Raw genomic sequence first — 23,229 nt, forward strand, 5'->3', positions numbered from 1 at the left:
AGGCTTTTAGAACTATTTGGAGCCATACAGTCTCCAAAAAATTTAATATGATGATAAAACTGGGTTCAAATGAGCCTGGTTATATCCATATTAACATTTATTGAGCACCCATTATGTGCAAATGCTGTACTCAGTTCTGGGAACATGAAAGCAAGCAAGCTGCAATTGCCATGTCCAAGGACACAGTCTACTTGGAGACAGAGGCATAAACAATAGTTGCCCCTTATTTGCAGTTTCACTTTATGATTTCAATTACCCACAGTACAGTACAATGAGGTATTTTGAGTAAGAGAAAGAAAGAGCCTACAATCACATAACTTTTTTTACAGTATATTGTTATAATTGTTCTATTTTATTATTAGTTAATATTTTACTGTGCCTGATTATGAATTAAATTATATCATAGGAATGTATGCATAGGAAAAAACATTGTACATATAGGGTTTAGTACTATCTTCAGTTTCAGGCATCCCCTGTGGGTCTGGGAACATATCCCCCCCTGACAAATGGAATTTCTGTAAGCAACCAATTACAACACAGGTTTTTTTTTGTTTTTTGTTTTTTGTTTTTTTTTGAGATGGAGTCTCGCTCTGTCACCCAGGCTGGAGTGCAGTGGCATGATCTTGGCTCACTGCAAGCACCGCCTCCCAGGTTCATGCCATTCTCCTGCCTCAGCCTCCTGAGTAGCCGGGACTACAGGCGCCCGCCACCACGCCCGACTAGTTTTTTGTATTTTTAGTAGAGATGGGGTTTTACCGTGTTAGCCAGGATGGTCGCGATCTCCTCACCTCGTGATCCACCTGCCTTGGCCTCCCAAAGTGTTGGGATTACAACACAGTTTTGTAGTTTCCTCTATAACAAGACTGTAAACTGTCATAACAACTTAGAGGAGGGAATAATACATTTTATTTAGAATATCAAAAAAGGCCCTCACTGCAAATTACCTTTTAAAGTATGAGTTCATTGGGTAGGGAATATTATAGGAAGAGAGAATCTCAGTCTGAGAGATTGTCTCAGTGCATCAGGAGCAGAAGGTTTAAGGACACAGCTTTAGGAGGCAGTTCACAGGAAGGCAGGTGCCAGATTTAGAAGGATCTTAAAATCTGTGCTGAAGTGTTTGGACTTCATCTGCATGGTAGTGGAAACCACGGAATGTTTTTCAGCAAGAAAGTAACATGTTGGAATAATTTTCACTACAGTAACTCAGAGAGACAGTACAGTGAATTGTTTAAAAAAAAAAAAAGTGGATTGTGACTGGTCTATGTTCAAATCCCAGCTATGTCACTCAGCAGCTACATGACCTTGTACAAGCTGTTTAACCTCTGTTGCTTCAATTGCCTCATCTTTAAATAGTAAGAGTAATAGAAACATATCTTTTAAGTTGTTGTAGGACTTTAATGAGTTAGTCCACATAAAGCCCTTTAAACAGAATCTGGCACAAAGTAGGTTCTAAATAAGTGTTCATTGTTTTAAGAATAGAAGGTAATTCAAGGATATTGAAAGGAATCACAGAGACCTGTTTGGAGGCCCCTATACTGCTCTAGACAAGAACTAATAAAGGCTTGAAGGAAGGCAATGACATAGGGAAAGAGGGAGGAAGGGATAGAATCTGGGAATGGTTCAGAAACTGGGTCTTACCCACTTCTCAGATGTCATCTTTCTCCAGTCCTACTTTGTTTCACCAAGCCCTGCAAACACTAGCCTGCATTCTCTCCGTTACATATGCCAAGAACATTCCCACCACAGTGCCTTTGCATCTGCTGTTCCTTCTGCTCAGAGTGCTCTTCCCCTAAATCAGTGGTGTCCAATCTTTTGGCTTCCCCGGGCCACAAGGGAAGAATAATTCTCTTGGGCCACTCATAAAATACACTAACACCAATGGTAGCTAAGGAGCTGAAAAAAAGAAAATCACAAAAACATCTCATAATGTTTTAAGGAAGTTTACGAATTTATATTGGGCCACATTCAAAGCTGTCATGGGCTGCCTGTGACCCACAGGCCATGGATTGGACAAGCTTGCCCTAAATCTTCCTTCTTCTCAATGCCAACTGCAATGCTGCTTAATGAAGAGGCCTTTCCTGACCATGCTAAACAAAGCAGCACCTCTGTCACTTCACAACACTTAGTATGTGAATTGCTTTCTTTTTTTTCTTTTTTTTTTTTTTTTTTTTTCAGACAGAGTCTCACTCTGTCACCAGGCTGGAGTACACTGCTGCAATCTCAGCTCACTGCAACCTCCGCCTCCCGGGTTCAAGCGATTCTCCTGCCTCAGCCTCCCAAGTAGCTGAGACTACAGGTGCATGCCACCACGCCTGGCTAATTTTTGTATTTTTAATAGAGATGGGGTTTCACCATGTTGGCCAGGATGGTCTCAACTTCCTGACCTCAAGATCCACCCACCTTGGCCTCCCAAAGTGCTGGGATTATAGGCATGAGACACCACGCCCGGCCATGAATTGCTTTTTTATTGGCTAATTAAGTTGCCTAGGTCTTTACTACTTACCTTCTTACTGATTTTCCTAATTACTTATTACTTCTTCACTGTTTCCTATCTTCTATATGAATATAAGCTCCTAAAGCCAGCAACTCTGCCTTATTCACCACAAAATTTCTAGTACCTAGGAAAGTACCTACCTACATAGGATGACCACTTAGTGAATAATTTTTGGTTGATTTACTCATTGGTTTGGACAAAGTAAGACACATAAGTAATGATAGAATGACTTGGATCAGATCTCATGTATCCTGAATCCCAGTCTTACTCTCTCCTCACTAATGTTACCAGTCTTCAAATATCTGACAGGCTGCCATAAGAAAGTTAGTGTGAATGTAGTCTGTCCTTCTCCAAAGAGAATAGCTAGGACTGAGTGGAAATTACAGAAAGACAAATTTCTGCTCAACAGAAGAAAAAGTTTTCCAGTAACATGAGTTGTGCAACACTGAAGGAGGCTGCCTTGAAATTCTGTGCTTGATACATACATGAGGTCCACAGGGAGATTAGATAATGTATCTGTAGCATTTGGCATTTCTTGATTGGAGAGGAAATTAGCCCAGATGACCTCTAAGGTCTCCATGTGTAATTCCCTGAGTGAATAAATGCGCAGCCAATAAGGGAATAATGAGTACAGCAAGAATATACTAAATATAATATGGATCCTCAGCTTTATTCATTTAGATTATTTCTTGGTTTTGATTGTTTATTTGCATTATTAAATAAAATATAAAAGAAGCTTTCTGATTTTCATTATGCACACAGCAATGAAAGAACCTTCTAAATGTAATCGGAGAAATAACTCATCATCACACTGATATGAACACTACGTGTTCTTCATGCTAGACAGTTTCCTAACTGAGACAAAATGTGTCACCTGTGATGATTCAATTTATTCATTCAATAACTATTACTTCAGGGACTACTATGTCCCAAACACTATGGTAATTAAAGAAAAGATGGCATGAGAGGACTTCAAAAGGCTTGTGGAAAAATTGAATTAAAAGATAAAATTAAAAAATAAGCCTTATTTCTCAACGTAAGCTTCAAGATTAAGACACCTTTGTAGGAGATAATACCAACAATGCGGTCCATCCTTAAGGAAATGAGGGTCCCAAGAGTTGAACCAAGTCAATGCAGTCTTTTTTACATTATTTATTAAATAAAATGGATACCCTTTACAGATATTTTAAGATTAAGAAAAAGAAGAAAGATGGAGCCAAATCAGAAATATAAGGTGGATTGTATTAGTTTGTTTTCACAGTGCCATAAAGAAATACCCAAGACTGAGTCATTTATAAAAGAAAGAGGTTTAATTGACTCACACAGTTACACATGGCTGGGGAGGCCTTAGGAAACTTATAATCATGGCAGAGGGGAAAGCAGGCACATATTAACTACATGGAGGCAAGTGACAGAGTGTGTGTGTGTGTGTGTGTGTGTGTGTGTGAAAGAGGAACTGTCAAACACTTATAAAACCATCATGTCACATGAGAACTAACTCACTATCATGAGCACAGCATGGGGAAACCCCACCTTATGCTCCAATCACCTCCTACCAGGTCCTTCCCTTGACACATGGAGATTATGGGGATTATAATTTGAGATGAGATTTGGGTGGAGACACAGAGCCAAACCATATCATGGATGCCTAATGATTTCCCATCAAGAGTTTTACAAAATTGGTCTTGTTTGATGAGGGGAATGAGCAGGAGAATTGTTTTGGTGGAGAAGAACTCTTTGGTGAAGCTTCTCAGTTGTTTTTCTGCTAAAGCTTTAGCAAACTTTCTCAAAATACTCTCATAATAAGCAGATGTTATTTTTCTTTGGCCCCTCAGAAACTTCACAAAATGCCTGGAGCATCCAAAAAAATAAAAAAAAACACTGTTGCCATGACCTTTTCTCTTGACCCAGTCTGCTTTTACTTTGGTTGGACCACTTCCACCTCTTGGTAGCCATTGCTTTGATTGTGCTTTGTCTTCAGGATCATACTGATAAAGCTACATGTCATCTCCTATTACAAATTCTTTGAAGAAATGCTTTAGAATCTTGACCTCACTTGTTAACAATTTCTTTTTTTTTGTCATATCCTCATTTATTAAACTTACGTATATTAAATGTCATTACTCACCACTGTTCTCTCTTCTTTCACCTTGTCTCTCTTATGATTTTTTTTATTATACTTTTAAGTTTTAGGGTACATATGCACAATGTGCAGGTTTGTTACATATGTATACATGTGCCATGTTGGTGTGCTGCACCCATTAACTCATCATTTACATTAGGTATATCTCCTAATGCTATCCCTCCTCCCTCCCCCCACCCCACAACAGGCCCCGGGATGTAATGTTCCCCTTCCTGTGTCCAAGTGTTCTCATTATTCAATTCCCACCTATGAGTGAGAACACGCAGTGGTTGGTTTTTTGTCCTTGCGATAGTTTGCTGAGAATGATGGTTTCCAGCTTCATCCATATCCCTACAAAGGACATGAACTCATCATTTTTTATGTCTGCATAGTATTCCATGGTGTATATGTGCAAAATTTTCTTAATCCAGTCTATCATTGTTGGACATTTGGGTTGGTTCCAAGTCTTTGCTATTGTGAATAGTGCCGCAATAAACATACGTATGCATGTGTCTTTATAGCAGCATGATTGATACTCCTTTGGGTATATACCCAGTAATGGGATGGCTGGGTCAAATGGTATTTCCAGATCTAGATCCCTGAAGAATCGCCACACTGACTTCCACAATGGTTGAACTAGTTTACAGTCCCACCAACAGTATAAAAGTGTTCCTATTTCTCCACATCCTCTCCAGCACCTGTTGTTTCCTGACTTTTTAATGATTGCCATTCTAACTGGTGTGAGATGGTATCTCATTGTGGTTTTGATTTGCATTTCTCTGATGGCCAGTGATGATGAGCATTTTTTCATGTGTCTTTCGGCTGCATAAATGTCTTCTTTTAAGAAGTGTCTGTTCATATCCTTCACCCACTTTTTGATGGGGTTGTTTGTTTCCTTCTTGTAAATTTGTTTGAGTTCTTTGTAGATTCTGGATATTAGCCCTTTGTCAGATGAGTCGATTGCAAAAATTTTCTCCCCTTCTGTAGGTTGCCTGTTCACTCTGATGTAGTTTCTTTTGCTCTGCCGAAGCTCTTTAGTTTAATTAGATCCCAATTGTCAATTTTGGCTTTTGTTGCCATTGCTTTTGGTGTTTTAGACATGAAGTCCTTGCCCATGCCTGTGTCCTGAATGGTATTGCCTAGGTTTTCTTCTAGGGTTTTTATGGTTTTAGGTCTAACATTCAAGTCTTTAATCCATCTTGAATTAATTTTTGTATAAGGTGTAAGGAAGGGATCCAGTTTCAGCTTTCTACATATGGCTAGCCAGTTTTCCCAGCACCATTTATTAAATAGGGAATCCTTTCCCCATTGCTTGTTTTTGTCAGGTTTGTCAAAGATCATTGTTAGTAGCAGACAAGAGCAAAGCTTTCAACAGAAATTGTTAACAAGTTTTGACAAACTTGTTAACAATTTCTATTGAAAGCTTTGCTCTTGTCTGCCGCTAATCTGGGCACAATGGTTTTGACATCCATCTAGGGGAAAGTTTGCTCAACTTTAATTTTTAGTCAGAGTTGTGCAAGCTGAACCAATTGAGATGTCTGTGGGGTTGGCTATTGTTCTGCTGTTAATCATTGGTCCTCTTCAGTGAGGGCACAAAAAGTTAATTTTTTCTTTGAAAATGGATATGGATTGGTCTACTGCTGCAGGCTTCATCTTCAACATTATCTCGTCTCTTCTTAAGATCAGTTAGTAAACTGCTAATTTCTTTGGAACATTGTGCCCATAAACTTTTTGTAAAGCATCAATGATTTCACCATTCTTCCTCCCAAGCTTTACCAGCAATTTGATGTTTGTTCTTGTTTCAATTTTTGCAGAATTCATGTTGCTCAGATAGAGGCTCTTTTCAAACTGATACCTCGTCTTTCTCAGTGTCTAAAACTACATCGTCTTCAGATGTGTTCAAACATGTTATAAAAACTATGCATTAATTTTGAAATTTTGAATTTTGAATTTCAAAATTCATGCATAGTTTTTTCATAATATGTATTTTTCATAAACTTTTTGAAGAGTCTTCTTATAATGGTAAACAAGACAGTTTCTGTGTTTATGGGACTGCCATTCTAGAGATGAGTATAGACAAGTAAATGATGATGTTACAATTAACGTCATCAGTGTTATGATGGGAAAAGTACAGGATGCTAAGGGAGAACCTCAGAACCTCAGTGGATGACCTTGCAGACTTGTTGTATCTGGGTAGGATTTCTGGAATAAACAGTTATTTTTTTTAGATGGAATTTTGCTGTTGTTGCCCAGGCTGGAGTGCAACAGCATGATCCTGGCTCAGTGCAAGCTCCGCCTCCCAGGTTCAAGCAATTCTCCTGCCTCTGCCTCCCAAGTAGCTGGGATTGGCACATGCCACCACACCTGGCTAATTTTTTGTATTTTTAGTAGAGACAGGCTTTCTTGATGTTGGCTAGGCTGGTCTAGAACTCCTGACCTTAGGTGATCTGCCCACCTTGGCCTCCCAAAGTGCTGGGATTACAGGCATGAGCCACCACCACGACCGCCCGCCCCCAATTTCTGGAATAAATAATATCTGGGCTGAGACATGGAGGATTATTTGGAATATGAATTTGCTGGAGTGGGAGGCGTGTGAGAGAAGAGGAGCAAGAAGTCTCACAGGGAATGCTTTATGTAGTTGCAGTTGCATCTTGACCTTTTTGCTTGGGACTGTTCTTTTGACACTATTATTCAGAAGAACTTTCATTTTGAAGTAACAGTTTCTACACTTTACCATTTAACAGGAAATGCCTTTGTTTTTAGTACCTTACTGGGAACTAATAGAAAATTCCTATATAAACACCATCAAAACAGTACTCAGGCATCTGAGGGAAGACCAGCATACTGTGCTTGCTTACTTATATGAGATTAGGTAAGTAATGTTTCCAAAGTCAGAATTTTACAGTTTAGAGGCATGACATATAAAATTTATCTCATTCTATTAATGTCTACAGAACAAGTTTCCAGGAGTTTCTAAAGCGTCCGGATCACAAGCAAGATTTTGTAGCTCAATGGCAGGCTGATTTCAACTCCCTTCCTGATGACCTGTGGGATGATGAGGAAACAAAGGCTGAACTACATCAACGAGTGAATGTAAGGAAATAGTGACCTATTGGGACAGGGTTAGCTGGCTTTCATATCTTGTCCTGCAAAACCCCAACTCATTTGCTCCTTACTTTTGTGAAGTATGAGGATGAGAAAGAAAATGGTTTGAACTATTAACCAGGTAACTTTCAAGAGCAGTGGCTTTTCCGCACTTTGAGTTTAGAATGAGAATACCATAGCAACACTTCTGGAAAGAGGGGCCAAAGTCCGCACTGCGAGAACATTCTGGGCATCTGTCTTGTAGATTTCTAGTCCCTTAGTCTCTTTGTGGGTCAATGTAACTGTGCTTATGCCTGATGTTAATCACATTCCTTTCTTGAGCACAGTTACACATTTTGTTGATAGCAAGGAGAAGAGGAATGAGGGAATGACATGGAAAACCTAGAATTACCTCTATTGAATAGATCTCTTAAGGGCTGGTACTAAATACTACACATCTTTGTATCTCCAGCAAGCACAATTCCTGGTAGTGCCCCAGCAAGCACAATAACAAGCAGATTTTCATAAAGTCATGAGTGAATTATATTACCCTGATGCTTTAGAAAGGGGCCTCTGATGTACAAAAAGCCTGATTTCATTCTCTTGCCCTTCATCTTTCATTTTAAATTGACACACCCCCCCTTATCCCATCAGAGGGATACCTTGCCACTACCTTAAGTATAGATTACTAACAGTCAAAACTGATTATAACCTAAATATTGATTTATGTAATTAAAACATTGCCAATCTCAAACCCATGCCCCATTCATTTGGTCAATAAATACTTATTGAGCATCTATTATGGTCCTAGCACCATTAAAGAGGCTAGGGATTCAGCAGTGAACAAAATAAATCTGTGACCACAGAGTGTTTGTATCCTTGTGTCCAGGAGACACAGAATAAGCAATAAACAAATAAGCATATAGTGAATGTGTCCTTAGTCATAAGAGCTATGTAGAGAGCAAGAAAGCAAAGCAAGGGGAAAAGAACGTTGGATGTACCATTTTGTAAACAGTGGCTGTGGAAAATCTCACTGAGAAGGCGACATTTGAACAGACTGACAACAGAAGTGATTGGGTAAGCCATGTAAATATTTGGAGAAAGGGTGTATGAAGCACATATGAAAGCAAGAGCGATGGCACTGAAGGGGGAGGACACTTGGTGTGTTTGAAGAACAGCAAGGAGGCTGGTATGTCTGGAGCAGAGTGAGCTAGGCAACAGTTGGCTGATGATATGGTCAGAGAGATTGTTGGGTAACCAGATTACCTAAGTCCTTGGAGGTTATTATGAGAATATAGCTATTGATCTGAGTGAGACAGGAAGCATTGCTATCTGGTTTTAAAAGAGTCTGCAGTAGAGTAAAAACAGCAGGAAGACACGTTGGAACCAGATGGGAAACTTTTGCAATAGAAGCAAGGCGTCATTGTGGCTTGGGTGATAGGGTGGTTGCTGAAGGGTTTAACCCAATAGGTATTCAAATGTCCTGGTAAAATTGAAGTATTTTGCCTATTCTTTGACACTCCTCAAAGAGTAATTCATATCTATATAAACCCTACAACTTTTTTTCTGTTTTCTTTTTCCTACCTATTCATAAAGCCAGCCTTCCTGTATACTTCTTCCTCCATGTTAGTCAGGTGATTGTTGGCAGAGAATGAGAGGATTTGGAAATTTAAAATATCTTATTTGGGATTTCCTTTTTCCTAATTCCAAATGCGACATATGTTTATTGTAGATAAATTAGATAATAAGAAGCAAAATTTAAAATGACAAATCCCTAATAGTCAATGGTGGTTGTTTTTACAAAAATTTGATAGCAAAATATGTATTGTTTTGTAACATTCTTTTTAAGTCAATAGAACATGTTTTCTTTTTCAATAAACATTCATCTACAACATCATTTTTATGACTAAAGGATATGACTAGTGGACTATATCATTTATTTTACAGATTTCTATGTTTAGTCACCAGCTTATTAACAGTTTCTTGAGCACCAACATTTTATTACAGAGAATTTTACAGTAAAATTTCATCCAGCTAACTGTTGACCACATCCTTAATTATTTCTATGGGCAAACTTTTTTAAGTGAAACTTGTTTAAGATTATGCTTATTTTTAAGGTTTTTAAAATATACTAAAAATTTACAAATTTGAAAACTTTACACAGTAAGAACTTGTAAATTTTACTCAACTAACAGATTATGCAAATATCAGATTTGTATATTTTAAATTATACAAATATTTTAAATCTAAATTATTAGATTTATATCAAATATTAGATTCTTTTTTGTTAATCTTTGCCAATTTAATGGGTAAAAATATGAATATATTCCTATAATTTACATTTTTTCCTCAATTTACAATGGAAGTTGACCATTTTCTCCTAAGTTTAATGGTCATTTATTTTCCACCTCCTGAAACCTGTTTGTGATTTCTGCCCCTTTTTCTGCTGGAGCATGCTCTGTTCCTTACTGACTTCTAAGATCTTTGTATATGTTAAGGAAACAAGCCATCTGTTGATCATATAGTATATATATATTCCCAGTTTGATGTTTGAGATGAGTTTTAATATGCAGAAGGTTTTTAATGTTTATATTGATAAATAAGGAAATTTCCTTTATAGCTTTTTTTGTGATCAATTAAAAAATACTTCACCCCAAGATTATATAGAAATGTAACACAATTTTAAATAATTTTATAGTTCTTTATTTTACTTTTAAATATTTAAAGTATTATGTTACTTCAATAGGAATCTCATTTTATTTTTTTCAGAAAGTTAATCCAATGATGTGAGAAGACTCTAAAATATATTAACATAGACTTACATATAATATATACATATATATTATATGTGGATATTTAGCTACGTGGTTAGATATGGTGGACACACTCCCTTTTATTTTTCTTCACTTATTATTAGGCATGGAAGAATAGAAATAAATATAACTTCAAAAAGAAGTTAGAAAATAAAGCTGAGGAAAGGAGAAAGGAATTAATGAGGATAATTCTTAAAAACTTGGAATTAAATTTAAAATTTGGAAATAAAACATATTAAACTTAAAATTCAATCCAGGCAATAAAGGCAGAGAAACCTCTAGAAAGAATAGTCAAGGGAAGAAAAATAAACTTTGAGTAGAAATTTGGATATTAGAAAATATCCATGGATACTAGAAAACAACATACAAAATTTCTACTTGGAAGGTTCAGTAAGTTTTGGCCAAATCCACCTTATCAAAGATATGATAACATTTTTAGCAGTGGATCTTCAGCAACAGTATACAGTAGAGAAACTTCTGAAGTTAAGTTAAAAAAATAAATAAACCTGCCTTTGCTTCATGCCCTATGACCAAACTCATTAGATTTAGTATAAATCCTTGTATCACATTTATTTTTAAAAGGGTACAGGTAATTCTGATTGAAATAACCACTCTATTCCTTTTTTTTTTAACATTTTTATAGCTAGATGATCTTGTAAAAACTGGTGAAAGTAAGTGAAAAACTCCTGTGACTATTACATTTCTATCCATTTTCCTTGCTACAGTTTTTGATTTTCATCAGTTTTAAGGCAGCAACAGTAATAGCTAAATGCTGAGCATGCACTATGTTCTGGCACTGTCTTTTTCATCCCCACAACCACCCTCTGAGGCAGGCACTAGTAATACTCCCATTTTATAGATGAACAAATATGGTAAAGAAGCCAACATAGTAAGCAGTAGTGGGATTCTGTGCCCAAGTTGCCCTGTTCCTCATTATGGTATAAAATCTTTGCATCCTAAGTGCTTTTTGTCTTAAATTTGACTTCTACCTGATATCAATACCATAAACCTTGCTTTATTTTTAATTTGTATGTGGTCATATAAGTTTCCACACTGACCTTTTTGTGTCGTTTTGTTTTATGTATCTCTAGTAAGCACCACATAAGTTGAATGTGGGTTTTTACCCAGTGGAAAGTCTTTACAACTTTTGTAAGAATAGACATTTATAATGATTTAGTCTGCATGATCTTCTCAATTAATAGTTATGAATCTCTCTTAAATACGTCTCTGATTTTTCAGGAATACTTAGTAGTTCCCTAATTCTTGCTAAATAAAGTGTGAAAACCAGCAATGTCTCTGGGCAAGTGCATAACAAAACCTCATTGCTTTAATCCCTTTTTATCCCTGGTAATATTCCTTGTTCTTCAATTATTTCATTCCAATCCTATGAAGTTAATAGAGAGCTTCTGCTGTTGCATTGTTCTCATTTTGTCCATTACAAAACTGAGCCACAGACATGATGTTACTTGCAAAGGTTTCACACTGAGTCCGTGGGAGAAAAAGAACTAGAATCAAGGTCTCCAGAGCCCTGCTTTTGTGCTTTTTCCTCTGCTGTGTCCTCTCCTTTCTTTAAAAAATATATAAAGAGGAGAATCGCATGAACCCAGGAGGTGGAGGCCTCAGTGAGCCAAGATCACGCCACAGCACACTCCAGCCTGGGGGACAGAGGGAGACTCTGTCTAAAAAACAAACAAACAAACAAAAAAACTGGATCATCATGGCAGACAGGAGGCAGGACTAGATTGCAGCTCTGGACAGAGCAGTGTGTGGAGGCTTGCACTGTGAATTTTAGCTCCAGATCAACTGCAAGAACAAACCAGCAATCCCGAGAGGACTCACAGACCCTCTGAAGGAGGCTGACTGCTCCTGCGGGACCTGGGAGACACCCCAAATACTATGAGTGCCCTAGTGCGGCAGTGGGAAAGGGAGACCCTCCTCTCCTGAACACACCCCCACTGGAGAAACTGAAAGTCTGTTTCAGTTTCTAACTGATATATTCTAACTAACAGAAGAAGTTTCTAACCTTACCTGGAGCTGAGTCAATTTAGAGAGCTGAGCGAAATACAGGGGTAGAGGAAGTAGCAGAAAGGCACTGGGAGCTCGCTGGGTGCCCAAGCAGCCCATTCCTGCTGGGCATCACAGGGTTCCATTGGGAGGGTGGCCAGAGGAGCAGGGGGTAAAACTCCACAGGGAGAAGAAAATCTCTAGCTGAACCTTGTAACAATTTGAACTGGGCAAGAAGCCTCCCGGCCAGAGCTCGGGGGAGGGTGCACATCCGGTGTGCAGACTCCTCAGGTAGGGGAAGACCCAAGCCCTTTTCTTTCACAGCTCGGAGGTGGGTATCCTTGAACAAGTTCTCAAGCCCATCTCACCCACTGCCTGGAAACAGACTCGGGGCTGTTGGCAGAGGCCCGGTGGGAGTGAGACCGGCCCTTAGGTTTGCATGGGAGCTGCGTGAGGCTGTGACTGCCAGCTTTCCCCCACTTCCCTGCCTCAGCACCTACATGACTCAGCAGAGGCAGCCACAATCCTCCTAGGTGCATAACTCCAGTGACCTGGGAATCTCACCCCCAACCCCGACAGCAGCTGCAGCAAAACCCACCCAAGGAGAATCTGAGCTCAGACATGCTTAGCTCTGCCACACCTGATGGTCCTTTCCTACCCACCCTGGTAGTGGAAGACAAAGGGCATATAATCTTGGGAGTTCTAGGGCCCAGCCCACCGCTGGTCCCTCTCCACGCTACTACAGCTGATGCTCTCTGGAAAGCACCACCTCCTGGCAGGATGCCAACCAGCACAAAAATAGACCATTAAACCATCAAGGCTAAGAACTGTCATGGAGTCCATTGCACTCCCTCACCACCTCCACCAGAACAGGCACTGGTATCCATGGCTGGGAGACCCATAGACAATTCACATCACAGGACTCTGTGCAGACAACCCCCAGTACCAACCCGGAGCAGGGTAGACTTACTGGGTGGCTAAACCCAGAAGACAGACAACAATCACTGCAGTTTGGCTCACAGGAAGCCACATCCATAGGAAAAGCAGGAGAGTATTACATCAAGGGAACACCCTGTGGGACAAAAGAATCTGAACAAGAGCTTTCAGCCCTAGACCTTCCCTTTGCAGAGCCTACCCAAATGAGAAGGAACCAAAAAATCAGCCCTGGTAATATGACAAAACAAGGCTCTTTAACACCGTGAAAAAATCACACTAGTTCACCAGCAATGGATCCAAACCAAGAAATCCCTGATTTATCTGAAAAAGAATTCAGGAGGTTAGTTATTAAGCTAATCAGGGAGGCACCAGAGAAAGGCAAAGCCCAATGCAAGGAAATCCAAAAAATGATACAAGGAGTGAAGGGAGAAATATTCAAGGAAATAGATAGCTAAAAGAAAAAACAAACAAAAATTCAGGAAACTTTGTAGACACTTTTAGAAACCTGAAATGTTCTGGAAAGTCTCAGCAATAGAATTGAACAGGTAGAAGCAAGAAATTCAGAGCTGAAAGACAAGGTCCTCAAATTAACCCAATCCAACAAAGACAATGAAAAAAGAAAAAGAAAATATGAGCAAAGCCTCCAAGAAGTCTGGGATTATGTTAAATGACCAAACCGAACAATAATTGGTGTTCCTGAGGAAGAAGAGAATTATAAAAGCTTGGAAAACATATTTAGAGGAATAATTGAGGAAAACTTCCCCAGCCTCGCTAGAGACCTAAACATTCAAACACAAGAAGTACAAAGAACACCTGGGAAATTTATCACAAAAAAACATCACCTAGGCACATTGCCATCAGGTTATCCAAAGTTAAGACAAAGGAAAGAATTTTCAGAGCTGTGAGACAGAAGCACCAGGTAACTTATAAAGGAAAACCTATCAAATTAACAGCTGATTTCTCAGCAGAAACCCTAAAAGCTAGAAGGGATTAGGGCCCTATCTTCAGCCTCCTCAAACGAAACAATTATCAGCCAAGAATTTTCTATCAAGCAAAACTAAGCATCGTATATGAAGGAAAGACATAGTCTTTTTCAAACAAACAAATGCTGAGAGAATTTGCCATTACCAAGCCACCACTACAAGAAAAAGGAGCTCTAAATCTTGAAACAAATCCTGGAAACACATCAAAACAGAACCTCTTTAATGCATAAATCACACAGGACCTATTAAACAAAAATACAAGTTAAAAAAGCCAAAACAAACAAAAAAAACCAAAAGTACACAGGCAACAAAGAGCATGATGAATGCAATGGTACCTCACATTTCAATACTAACATTGAATGTAAATGGCCTAAAGGCTCCACTTAAAAGATACAGAACTGCAGAATGGATAAGAACTCACCAACCAACTATCTGCTGCTGTCAGGAGACTCACCTAACACATAAGGACTCACATAAACTTAAAGGGGTGGAAAAAGGCATTTCATGCAAATGGACACAAAAAGTGAGCAGGGTAGCTATTCTTATATCAGACAAAACCAACTTTAAAGCAACACCAGTTAAAAGAGACAAAGAGGGACATTATATAACGGTAAAAGGCCTTGTGCAACAGGAAAATATCACAATCCTAAACATATATGCACCTAACACTGGAGCTCCCAAATTTATAAAACAATCACTAACAGACCTAAGAAATGAGATACACAGCAACACAATAATAGTGGGGGACAACAATATTCTACTGACAGCATTAGACAGGTCATCAAGATAGAAAGTCAACAAGGAAACAATGGATTTAAACTATTGCTTGGAACAAATGGACTTAACAAATATATACAAAACACATCACCCAGCAACTGCAGAATACACATTCTATTCAACAGCACATAGAACTTTCTCCAAGATAGACCATATGATAGGCTATAAAACAAGCCTCAATAAATTTAAGAAAATTGAAATTATATCAAGCACTCTCTTAGACTACAGTGGAATAAAACTGGAAATCAACTCCAAAAGGAATCTTCAAAACTATGCAAATACATAGAAATTAAATAACCTGCTCCTGAATAAGCATTGGATCAAAAACGAAATCAAGATGGAAATTAAAAAATTATTCGAACTGAATGACAGTGACACAACCTACCAAAACCTCGGATACAGCAAAGGCAGTGCTAAGAGGAAAGTTCATAGCCCTAAATGCCTACATCAAAAAGATCAAAAGAGCACAAACTGACATTCTAAGGTCACACCTCAAGGAACTAGAAAAACAAGAACAAACCAAACCCAAACCCAGCAGAAGAAAGGAAAAAAGCAAGATCGGAGCAGAACTAAATGAAATTGGAACAAAAAAAATACAAAAGACAAATGAATCAAAAAGCTGGTTCTTTGAAAATAAAATTGATAGACCATTCGCAAGATTAACCAAGAAAAGAAGAGAGAAAATCCAAATAACCTCACTAAGAAACAAAACAGGAGATATTACAACTGACATCACTGAAATACAAAAGATCATTCAAGGCTACTATGAACACCTTTACACACATAAACCTGAAAACCTAGAAGAGTTGGATATATTCCTGGAAAAATACAACCTTCCTAGCTTAAATCAAGAAGAATTAGATACCCTGAACTGACCAATAACAAGCAGTGAGATTGAAATGGTAATTTAAAAATTACCAACACAAAAAAGTCCAGGACCAGGTGGATTCACAGTAAAATTCTACCAGACATTCAAAGAAGAATTGATACCAATCCTTTTGATACTATTCCACAATGTAGAGAAAGCATTACCAAAACCAGCAAAGGACATAACCTAATACCAAAGCCAGCATTACCCTAATACCAAAACCAGCAAAGGACATAACCAAAAAAGAAAATTACAGACCGATATCCTTGATAAACACAGATGCTAAAATCCTTAACAAAATAGTAGCTAACCAAATCCAACAACATATCAAAAAGATAATCCACCATGATCAAGTGGGTTTTATACCAGGGATGCAGGGATGGTTTAACATACACAAGTCAATAAATGTGATACACCACATAAACAGAATTAAAAACAAAAATATGTGATCAATAGATGCAGAAAAAGATGCATCAATAGATGCAGAAAAAGCATTTGACAAAATCCAGCATGGCTTTATGATTAAAACTCTCAGCAAAAATTGGCATACAAGGGACATATCTCAATGTAATAAAAGCCATCTATGACAAACCCACAGCTACCATAATACTGAATGGGGAAAAGTTGAAAGCATTCCCTCTGAAAACTGGAACAAGACAAGTATGCCCACTCTCACCACTCCTCTTCAACATAGTACTGGAGGTCCTAGCCAGAGCAATCAGACTAGAGAAAGAAAGAAAAGGCACTGAAGTCAGTAAAGAGGAAGTCAAACTGTTCCTGTTTGCTGACGATATGATCGTTTACCTTGAAAACCCTAAAGACTCCTCCAGAAAGCTCCTAGAACTGATTAAAAAATTCAGCAAAGTTTCCGGATACAAGATTAATGTACACAAATCAGTAGTTCTTCTATACACCAACATCGACCAAGCAGAGAATCAAATCAAGAACTCAACCCCTTTTACCATAGCTGCAAAAAAAATGAAATACTTAGGAATATACCTAACCAAGGAGTCAAAAGACCTCTACAAGGAAAACTACAAAACACTGCTGAAAAAAATCATAAATGACATAAACAGATGAAAACACATCCCATGCTCACGGATGAGTAGAATCAATATTGTGAAAATGATCATACTGCCCAAAGCAATCTACAAATTCAATGCAATCCCCATCAAAATACCACCAACAGTCTTCAGAGAATTATAAAAAACAATTCTAAAATTCATATGGAACCGCAAAAGAAACTACATTGCCAAAGCAAGACTAAGCAAAAAGAACAAATCTGGAAGCATCACACTACCTGATTTCAAACTATACTATAAGGCCATAGTAACCAAAACAGCATGATACTGGTATAAAAATAGGCACATAGACCAATGGAACAGAATAGAGAACCCAGAAATAAACCCAAATACCTACAGCCAACTGATCTTTGACAAAGCAAACAATAACATAAGTTGGGGAAAGGACACCCTGTTCAACAAATGGTGCTGGGATAATTGGCTAGCCACTTGTAGAGGAATGAAACTGGGTCCTCATCTCTCACCTTATACAAAAATCAACTCAAGATGGATTAAGGTCTTAAACATAAGACCTGAAACTAAAAATTCTACAAGATAACTTTGGAAGAACCCTTCTGGACATTGGCTCAGGCAAGGATTTCATGACCAAAAACCCAAAAGCAAATGCAATAAAAACAAAGATAAATCACTGGGACCTAATTAAACCAAACAACTTTTGCACGGCACATGGACAGTCAGCAGAGTAAAAAGACAACCCACAGAATGGGAGAAAATTTTCACAATCTATACATCTGACAAAAGACTAATATCCAGAATCTACAATGAACTCAAATCAGTAAGAAAAAAAGAATCCCATCAAAAAGTGAGCTATGGATATAAATAGCCAGTTCTCAAAAGAAGATATACAAATGGGCAACAAACATATGAAAAAATGCTCAACATCACTAATGATCAGGGAAATGCAAATCAAAACCACAATGTGATACCACCTTACTCCTGCAAGAATGGCCATAATGAAAAAAACCAAAAACCAGTAGATGTCGGTGAGGATGCAGTGATCAGGGAACACTTCTATGCTGCTGATGGTAATGTAAACTAGTACAGACACTATGGAAAACAGTGTGGAGATTCCTTTAAGAACTAAAAGTAGAGCTACCATTTGATCCAGCAATCCTATTATTGGGTATCTACCCAGAGGAAAAGAAGTCATTATTTAAAAAAGATACTTGCACACATTGTTTATAGCAGCACAATTCACAGTTGCAAAATCGTGGAACCAACCCAAATACCCATCAGTCAGTGAGTGGATAAAGAAACTGTGCTATATATATATATGTATATATATATATACGTATATATATACGTATATATATACACATATGTATATATATATACGTATATATATGTATATATATATACACACACACACACACACATATATATATATATATATATATGATGGAATGCTACTCAGCCATAAAAAGGAATGAATTAACAGTATTTGCAGTGACCTGGATGAGACTGGAGACTATTATTCTAAGTAAAGTAACTCAGGAATGGAAAACCAAACATTATGTTCTCACTGATTTGTGAGAGCTAAGCTATGAGGACTCAAAGGCATAAGAATGATACAATGGACTTTGGGGACTTGGGGGGAAGAGTGGGAGGGGGGTGAAGGATAAAAGACTCCAAATATGGTGCAGTGTATACTGCTCATGTGATGAGTACAGCAAAATCTCACATATCACCACTGAAGAACTTACTTATGTACCCAAATACCACCCGTACCCCAATAACTTATGGAAAAATAAGGTAATTAATTAATTAATTAAAAATATATAAATATTTGATAAGCACAAGTTAGTACTTATTGAATACCTGACAGAGCATTTATGGAAACACCATGAAGATATCAAGATCAGCTCTAAAATAATGATATATTGTTCTGATACTTAGCATATGGCAATAAAAATGGCTTGTGATATTTTCATTTCATGTGCAGGCTCCTCAAGGTAACAAACCAAAATGCAAAGGTAAGAATTCAAAAACAAAGTATTCCATAAACACAATGTCACAGAAATAAAATTCACTGTAGGCATTAAACTGCTTGGGTTCAAATTAATTTCTGGCTCTACCACATTGAAATTATAGGCAAGAAACTTAACCTGTCTGTGTTTCAATGGTCTTGTCGGAAGCCTACTTACTGTGGGGCTGTGGGGGTTAGGAGATAATCAATGTAATGCAGTGGTCCCCAACCTTTTTGGCACCAGGGACCAGTTTCGTGGAAGACAATTTTTCCACAGATATTGGTGAGGGGGATGGTTTAGAGATAAAACTGTTCCACTCAGATCATGAGGCATTAGATTCTCATAAGAAGTACGCAGCCTACATCTCTCACATTTGTAGTTCACAATAGGGTTCAGGCTTCTATGAGAATCTAATGTTGCTGCGGATCTGATAGGAGGTGGAGATCGGGGAGTAATGCTCACTTGCCCACCGCTCACCTCCTGCTGTGTGGCCCAGTTCCTAACAAGCCATGGATGGGTACCACCTCGCGGCCCAAGGGTTGGGGACCCCTGATGTAATGCACTTAACATGATGCTCAACACATAATAAATGTTTAGTGAATTATTATTATTAATTTTTATTGAGACAGGGTCTCTGTCACTCAGGCTGAGGTGCAGTGGTGAAGTCATGGCTCATTGCAGCCTTGAACCCTTGGGCTCAAGCAATCCTCCCATCTTAGCCTCCTGAGTAGCTGGGACTACAGACATGTGCCACCATGAATGGCTAAGTTTTTATTTTTTAATTTTTTATAGAAATGGGGGTTTTGCCATGTTGACCAGGCTGGTCTTGAACTCCTGGCCTCAAATGATCCTCCTGCCTCAGCCTCTCAAAGTGTTGGGATTATAAGCATGAGCCACTGTGCCTGGCCTCAGTGAATTATTATTATTGCAAAAGCTGTCGATTTTTATTTGACTGTATATGTTTCATTAATGGGACTGAAGCCTAATATAGTAGTATATATTATTCAAGACCACCAGTTCGTATTCTGGCTCCACCACTTAATCTTTCTGTGACCTTAGAAAGTAACTTCTCTGTGACTCAGTTTCCTCAATTGTAAAATGAAGGTAATAATACTACCTAGCTTAAGGATGTTGTGAGGCATTAAATGAGCCAATACAAGTATAGTGACTTATGTTCCGACACATAGATACACACTGAAAGGACTCTATGTGATAACTATTTTTATTATATTTATATGTAAATTATTAAATATATATAATGTATTATATATTACTCATACTCTACTATACTATAAATCATCATACTCTAAATGCATTGATACTGTTTATTATGTATTTATATATAAATAGTATGTTATAAATTATTATGTTTATATTTATCATCTTGATTATTGCCCAGTATCTGGCAAGGGCAATCTCTTTACTGCTATCTCTTTAATACAAAGCTTACTTTTAGATCACCCCATTAAACTCAGACAACATTTTTTGGTGAACAATATGTTCCACCTGTAGTATTAATTAACAAGTTTATATTAATTAATTATGTTAATTAATACAGCTGCATATTTTTTTCCACCACCAATTGCCATTTCCCCCCCAAAATTCACTGAAAGGGCTTTTTCAACCAAACACATTTTTTTTTAGGAAGGATTAAAGCACATAAAACATAGCCATTCATGAATAAAGTAAAATGTAGTGGGTTTTTGGTAGACATAGACATATGATGTGGTGAGGTCCTCTTCAAACGTAAGGGACTGACAGAAGAGACTCAAGATGAATATTGGTTGAATGAGCACATACAATACAGGAGTGCAATTGGTGTAAAATTTCTTTAGAGACATTTTTAAGAGAGGCAAAGGATTTTAGTTTTATTGCACCTAGGTGATTTGAGCAGCAATCTAAAGCATAGCCACCATGCCTGTTTTTTCTGTTCAGGATCTGCGAGACCGCCTGTGGGACATTTGTGATGCCCGGAAGGAAGAGGCGGAGCAGGAGCGGCTTGACATCATTAATGAGAGCTGGTTACAGGACACTCTTGGAATGACAATGAACCATTTCTTTTCCCTGATGCAGGTAAGAGCAGCTGGTCACAATAACCCAGGCACTTCCCTTCACAGCCTCATTCCTCAGTCCTTCATATGACACTTTCTTGGGAATATGAGAGGTCTGTTCAGGGCTCATTTTGGTATAGCACTATGCCTGGTATGAGCTCCAACTCACCAAAAAAGCTAGCCGAAATAATACATTTTGACCCAGCCCAAATATGCACCCAAATTGGAAGCATCCCAAGCAACTACCCACCAGCTTTGCTCCCAGGTGGCCTAGATATGTAGAAAGCCACAGTAGAAATAGTGTTTACAACTGAGTTATCTCACCAGACTCTCAAAGCAGACCCCTTAAGTGGACAAAGAAAGCCCAGGAAAGCAGCCTGGCCACAACAAGCATAGGCAAGATCAGACCAGGCAGACATTTGATTCCTGAAAATAAAAAGTTTTCCAATACTGGACTAGAAAAACAGACCATAATCAATGCAACCCGATTAACTTATATTTGCAGCCTATTAAATTTAAAAAAATTGCACAGGGCAAGATTAGAAGACAGGTGCTGATTTTATTCGACACTATTGTCAGCAATAGGGGAGAAAGCACAAACCCAGCTCCGCCAAGACAAAGGGCTAGAGAGTTTTTAAGAGCTGAAGTAGGTTAGAGGGTATGGGTCATAAGCCAACTGTGTTTGCCAATTGACATTACCAGAAGGAAAAGTCAACTTTCTACGAACTTCATCACAGGAGGTAGTTTTAGGACTTGAAGCAATGCACCTAGTGAAATTAGGCTCCTAGTCTCACACAAGAACTGGGAGATAGAGTCCCTGTCTTCCTTGATGATTAATTATATTACAAAGAGATGGTTTTTAGGTCCTTGAGAAAGACATTCTTTCCTGGGTTGTACAACTGGTAGGAGGCTTTTGAAAAGATTTACATCTCAAAGGAACAGTGAAAGGATTTACAATGTCGTTTTCTTAAAGCAAATGCCCTAACAAAAGGGAGGTGGGCCCTAGAGTCAGGAAGCAGCCTGTCTAAAGCTAAGTCAAGCTAAAATAACAGGAATGAAGATAGAGAATGGAAAAGGGTACATTTCTGATCCTTAATTGATTAACTTAGATAAAGAGATACTACAGGAAATGAGAGTACTTATCTGGCAATCCCTACAGCTAATGCATAATAGGTGTTCAGTAAATGTCTTTTCATCAAAGGACCAATACATGCTGGTACTTCCAGCCTTCAAAGGGACAATTCATGGCTCAGGCATAGGCCAGACCACAGAAGGTCTGAAATATCAGCAGAAATCTGAGAGGCAGGAGCAGCCACTCAGGTAGGAGGTTTCAAGAAATCAGGATACCAGGACAGTGAAGACCCCATGCAGCCATGTTAGGAATCTGGATTGTAAAGAGAAGATGGAGTTAGAAAGATGTCATCCAAAGCAGAGGACAAAGCCGGGCCATGACCAGGAGGACAGATCCACATGGCATGGGTTGTATGCAAAGATTAAAGTGAGATGCCTAAGCAGCCTAGACCAGTCTTGATAGCATCCCCACGACATTGGTTTGGGCAAGCAAAAATCAAGTATTATAAACAGTCGTGTCAAAAGCTTATGGCAGAAATAGCTGAAAACCAATAATGAAGGCATAGGGAACAGATAATTTTTATGAATCATTCTTCATTCAGAGCAATACATACCTCCTTTGGAAATGGTATAGTACTCAATATTCCAACAATCCCTAGATAGAGGACTTTTATCTTGAGAAACTGAACCAATATCTAAGACCAACAAGGAATAAAGAGGAAAAAGCAGTAAATAAAATCTAACATTTACTAAGTTCTTACTATGTACATGCCAGGCAGCATTCTAAAGATTTTCATGTAGAATATATTAAAACTTCACAACAAGTTTTCACTCTTGCACCCAGGTTGGAGTGCAATGGTGCGATCTCACCTCACTGCAACCTCTGCCTCCCAGATTCAAGCAATTCTCCTGCCTCAGCCTCCCAAGTAGCTGGGATTACAGGCGCCCACCACCACGCCTGGCTAATTTTTGTATTT

The 23,229-nt window shown here is 38.3% G+C and overlaps 1 protein-coding gene across 18 annotated transcripts in view; it reads left to right on the forward strand.

Moving 5' to 3' along the window:
- The window catches only part of SPEF2 (sperm flagellar 2), a 196,749-nt gene that overhangs the window by 114,696 nt on the left and 58,824 nt on the right, over positions 1-23,229 (forward strand). For all 18 annotated transcript variants that reach the window (XR_925655.3, XM_011514136.4, NM_024867.4 and 15 more), the window contains 3 exons: positions 7,361-7,488; positions 7,571-7,709; positions 21,066-21,203. Coding sequence is in view for 17 of the 18 variants with exons in the window: in XM_011514136.4 (XP_011512438.1) it covers positions 7,361-7,488; positions 7,571-7,709; positions 21,066-21,203 (405 nt within the window). In the remaining variant the exon portion in view is untranslated. The remainder of the gene's footprint in view (positions 1-7,360; positions 7,489-7,570; positions 7,710-21,065; positions 21,204-23,229) is intronic.

This window comes from Homo sapiens, chromosome 5 (assembly GCF_000001405.40).
Source record: "Homo sapiens chromosome 5, GRCh38.p14 Primary Assembly".
Taxonomy (NCBI): domain Eukaryota; kingdom Metazoa; phylum Chordata; class Mammalia; order Primates; family Hominidae; genus Homo; species Homo sapiens.